Source organism: Homo sapiens, chromosome 12, assembly GCF_000001405.40.
Source record: "Homo sapiens chromosome 12, GRCh38.p14 Primary Assembly".
Classification (NCBI taxonomy): Eukaryota; Metazoa; Chordata; class Mammalia; order Primates; family Hominidae; genus Homo; species Homo sapiens.
This window is the reverse complement of record NC_000012.12, coordinates 44440968-44446205: the sequence shown is the minus strand read 5'-3', so window position 1 is coordinate 44446205 and position 5238 is coordinate 44440968. Positions and strand designations below refer to the sequence as shown.

Here is a 5238-nt window from a genome sequence, read left to right as displayed (position 1 = left end):
AATGGATGCTACAGGCAGGAAGCAAAAATTTAAAAAGAAAGCCATGGTTCCTGTCCTCCCATTATAGTGTCCATGCCTGGCAACTGCTTAATATACTATTACTCTAAAAACTTTCCAAACACAATCAGAAAGGTGTTTTATTTGTTCTACTGCCCAAACACATTTGCAGTGGGTCAAAAAATAATGGAAGCTTCATGGTAACAAGAGGTGATCATTTGCTCAATGTATAATGAAGCGGGAAAGAGAGTGAGAAAGAGTTGGCATGTTGGGAGGATAGTTTTTGGCTGTGCTGGTTGGGAATGGGGTGGGCAAGGAAACTGACAGGTACAGTGACCCTGAGTCTCAGCTTCTCTTTTAATATTTTCCCTTTGTGTTGCATGTCCACTCCCAGGATGAGACTCCTACCTCACCTCTCTTCTGACTATGACCAAGCAAAGTACAGTGAGAGTTCTGCTCAGATGAATCAGCAACTGTCTGTAATGGGGCCAAAGTCAAGACACAGCACTGCTCTCACCAATTTTCTAGATCAGAGGCTTTATTTAAAGGCTGAGGGAGAACTGAAAAACTTCCAACTCAGTAACCTTACTTACTCCCTAGACCCTTTCCAGGAATTGCTAACAATCCTAAAGAAAGGAACTACTAGGCCAAGCACATTTTCTAAGTACGAAAGAGAATTCGAAAATTAAGCAGACTAACAAAATGCTGTGAAAATTAATCAAGCTTCTCATATTAGTTTTTCGTAAGTCTTTTTGTTTGTTTTTGTTTTGTTTTTGTTTTTTGAGACGGAGTCTCTCTCTGTCACCAGGCTGGAATGCAGTGGCACAATGTCGGCTCACTGCAACCTCCAACTCCCTGGTTCAAGCGATTCTCCTGCCTCAGTTTCCTGAGTAGCTGGGATTTTCCTAAGTCTTAAAACCAGAGCTGTGACTATGAGTCATAATGTCACACCACCTTCTCTGTCTCTGTTGTAAATCATTCAACCAAAACTACACACTTTGGTGAAGTTCAAATATTTATGAATAAGCTGGCTGAACAAACCCACCTTGGAGCTTGGATGTGAAAGCTAAAGACAAACATGTCAAGACTGCACTTGACAGAGTTAGGAGATGGGAAGTTCAAAGGTTACAAATGTGAAACATTTGAGAATTAAAGGGTTAAAAAATGAAAGTAAATGCAACTGCATGAAGACTGCAGTAATTCATATGTCCTGGGGAAGCTAATCTGATACTAGCAGTCATAATTGTAAAATTGCACTGTTTTTACTGTTCCTTTTCTATTATGTTATTTAATTAATTAATTAAGCTTGGTTGTTCAATTAAATTTTAATTAATACAGTAATTGGAACTAGGCAAACAAAGCCCTGCTTACCAGCAGTCCTTTGGAACCTGCTTTGATGAACAGATCAAAATGATTTATAATTAGGTGTCAATTATTTATATGCAAATTATATTGTTAAAGGGCCTGAGGGCATCTTGAAAAGTTTATTTTCAAGAGCTTTAAACTTTCTTTCTACCTATAATCTTATTTACATATGTGAATTTTCTTAGCTGATAGATATTCATGGATAGTAAAACATGACTATAAAACAGTATTTCTCTGCTTTTACAAATTCTAAGCCTATGGCAAGTGAATTAGTAGTGTTTTCTTACATTTTGTTTGGTTTAGTACTTCTAATAGGAGCTCATCAGTGGAGAGCATGATGTCTATTCACAAGAGTCAATAAGACTAAATTCAGGGTTTTTTTTTTTTTTTTAGAGAAAATGTGTCTTAAATAGATTAGTTGATTTATTCTTTCCCTTCTCTTTTCTCTTCCCTCCCTCCCTCTATCCCTTCCTTTTTTACTGCTACTTTGCAAGAAGTTTCTGGATCTTTATGTTATTTGTACATGGAGACACACTGATCAAGTGTTTGTTAAATGTAATGTTCATCAAAGATACTTTACATTTATATAGAACTTGCATGAATATTTTCTCTTTTAATCCTCACAATTCTAAGATGTTTACAAAAAAAACTATTTTTTCCCTTTTACAGATGGGAAACTAAGTCTAAGAAAAGCAAAGTATTAGACTTAAGATCAACAATTAGTAAGTAATGGAATTGCTATTATTATAACACACTCACGATATTGACCAATTTTATGTGCCATAAAATTAGAGTAAAATATTAATATCTATGAAATGTTTTATGGTTTTGATACACAGGCATAGGGCAGAACCTGAACTATGTGCAAATATTCTGTTTGTCTGTTTTCTAAAGCTAAGAGAATACCAGCCTCTCTCCACATCAAGTAAACTTAGATCCCCCCACCAGTTTTGCTCTCCAAACACGGAGTCCTCTGAAATACAATCTGCAGTACTCGGAATATTTTAAGTGGTCTTCTCACTCACTAATTTTGCCTGCAAATGTCCTTTTTGGCCCTAGGTCAAGACTACTTTTTATATTTCCTATAAGACCTGGGTCCTTATCTAATGTTTTTTCCATGAAACTAGACAAAAGGGTCACGCAATCTGGATGTAGCTGTGACTTGTGATTTTGGTTAATGTACCTATGTTGAACCAGAGTCACCTTGCCCATTATAATTTTACATTTGTAGTTGTGTAAATGCCCAGAAATAGCATTTTTCATTTTTAAAATGTCTAAAGCAATTTTCTTTAATAAGCACATGATCTCTACATCTCTTCCTGTAACCTTTCTGAAAACATTAAAATTTTCTAACTGGATAGATTTATGAATTTTAAAAAACGACCAGTAGGACAACACGTCCTCCATTAACCTTGGACAAAAGTGGCTCATCCATTTAAGAAGAAAAATCAACAATATTCCATGGAAATATTTATGAAAAATCAAATACAGTCACTACTGAAGAGCTGATAAAGAAAATAAGGCATATGAAGCAAAAATACCTACTAATATATATATGTATGTATGTACATATAAGTAAAATATATGTAAACATGTACCTATACAATAAAATATAAAATGTTGAATATATGTATACATGTAGTTTTTACACAAATAACATATATACGTACACCAGAAATACTCTACCTCCTTATTCCTTAGGCAGAGAAAAAAATATATATATATATAGAAAGAGAGAGAGAGAGACTGATTTACTTTGTCACAGATTAGCTGAAGATGAAATGTTTTGAATGAGGCTCCTACCTGCTTTACTGTTACATTTACGTTTTGTCCTCTCTCTGCAATTGACTAAAGCCCTAGTAGAAATGGGCACAGGAACTGGAATATATGACAGAATGCTGAAATTGCATTGACAATTACTGGATGTAGGCTGCTACATATATTATACTGACATCAATTACAATTACATTACAATTAAATAACCTTGCTATATTGGAGCATGGGAATATGTTGCCAACTTATTCCTGCCTCATCCCTATCCTACCCTCTGTAGTCCTACACATTCAATTGACAGAAGCTGAAGAAGGGTAAAATCCAATCTGAGTTTCTGATATAAGGCTTTGCAATGTTCACCACCAAGTATTTCCACAAAACCCAAAAGGGTTCCTAATGTGTTCTCATAAACAGTTATGCCCTTTTGGGACTCTGCTATTGCTCCATTAGCTTTCAACGATTACCTTGGGCACCATAATCTTCTAGTAGGCTCTCCCACTGCTCCCCCAGGCATCAATGAATATGTGCTCAAGTCTCACAGTGGTTAAATGGGGAAAGGTAGCATGCCTTTCTTCCCTTTGTGTTATAATTTGTCCGAGAGATCACCAAGCAGCACTGCCTCTACACCAACACTTTCAGAGCTTTTGTGTAAAACTGCTCTTTCTATTTTAGTTAAATTTTTCTCATTCTAGACATGCATCTGGGTGAGACATGTATTTGAGTGATGGCCACTATGTTATGCTGAAATTTCTTATTCCCTTTCAATGACAAAGACTTTGTTATAAATATGCATTCCTCGTTCCTTCTTCCCTTTAGGTGAACTCTTTTTCCAGGAGGCTTCTCAGTCCCTGTGAAAAGAGACTTGAGTTGGGGCCATACCAAAGTTTTCTAGATGAATCAGAATGTCAGCAGAAGACATAGATTGTACTAAAGATGAAATCCCTGCTGCAGAAATAAGAACACGTTTATAGACTAGCAGAACTTAAAGATCAGTTGATACTCTGAAGTTTCATTCAAAAAATGTAAAAACGAATTATAAATTCAGAGGAAAGCAACTTAATGCACAAAATTCATTTGAGTAAAGGAGCCTGAGTCAATGCTATGTATCAAGAGTCCTCTTGAAGTTTCAAAATTGACAAAAAAAAAAAAAAAATGAGGAAGACAATTCTGGAGATGGAGGTTTGGTTTTACTACCTATTTGTCATTAAATCTCTTAGATCTTTAATTTTCTCATCTGTGAAATGGGAAGTCCTAACAGAAAATGGAGAAAATTGTGGATTTAGGTGTTATACTCCTCCTCCTTGGATAAAAAACCATGTAATATTTTTCACCTTCTTTTTAATTAGTGAATATATATATATATTATTTTTTTAATGTGAGGTTTTAAAAATCTTTTGTAGAACACTCTTTGTAATGCATGAATATCACGAGCAGGTTATTTTAATATTTTACAATTAGGATGAGACAGCCTGGACAGAGGCTCCTTTTGATGTGAGTCCTCCTAACCTAGTTGCAGTTTTCTCAAGGTTGTTCAGGGGCCAGGCCTGGATAGAAAGGGAGAAGAAAGGGTCCCATCAGTGCTGGCTGTATCATATTGAATTTTTCTTTCCTTTCTCTTGGGCTTTAATGGTACCCTACCACAGTAGGGGAAAGGTAAGAGCGAAATTATTTGTACATGTTAAGCACTGTGAGAAGCTTTGCCCTTAAGCACTGAATTTCTCAGTCTGACTAAGAAGAATGAAGAATTAAAGTGAAAGTACATGACTTCCCTCAGAGTTCACTGAGCTCCTTCCCTAGGACCCAAACTTTACTCTCATTATTGAGTTGCTGAAATGGTTTGGTTGTGTACACTGTAAAGAACTGTATGAATATTGTTAGAGTAGTCATCATATGAGGCAAAATTCAGAGCTGATTCATTAAGCAGCATTTATTGCTAATACTAAGGACAAAAGTCCCAATGAACACTGAAATTATATATTAAGGATGCAATGCCTATGACCTAGTACACCAGCCTGGAACTAAAAATTAAAATTTCAACAATAGAATCAATTCCTTTCTTAGCAGATCACGTTAATTAAACCCATAAAATTTCAGGAGTCTTTG

The 5238-nt window shown here is 35.6% G+C and overlaps 3 annotated features.

The window, feature by feature from the left end:
- Positions 4718-4767: an enhancer, noted in NCBI's record as "active region_6223". NCBI's record gives its function as "activates an Ori minimal core promoter by ATAC-STARR-seq in GM12878 lymphoblastoid cells {active_cell/tissue: GM12878}" and the evidence as "EXISTENCE:reporter gene assay evidence [ECO:0000049][PMID:35858748]".
- Positions 4868-4917: an enhancer, noted in NCBI's record as "active region_6222". NCBI's record gives its function as "activates an Ori minimal core promoter by ATAC-STARR-seq in GM12878 lymphoblastoid cells {active_cell/tissue: GM12878}" and the evidence as "EXISTENCE:reporter gene assay evidence [ECO:0000049][PMID:35858748]".
- Positions 4928-5007: an enhancer, noted in NCBI's record as "active region_6221". NCBI's record gives its function as "activates an Ori minimal core promoter by ATAC-STARR-seq in GM12878 lymphoblastoid cells {active_cell/tissue: GM12878}" and the evidence as "EXISTENCE:reporter gene assay evidence [ECO:0000049][PMID:35858748]".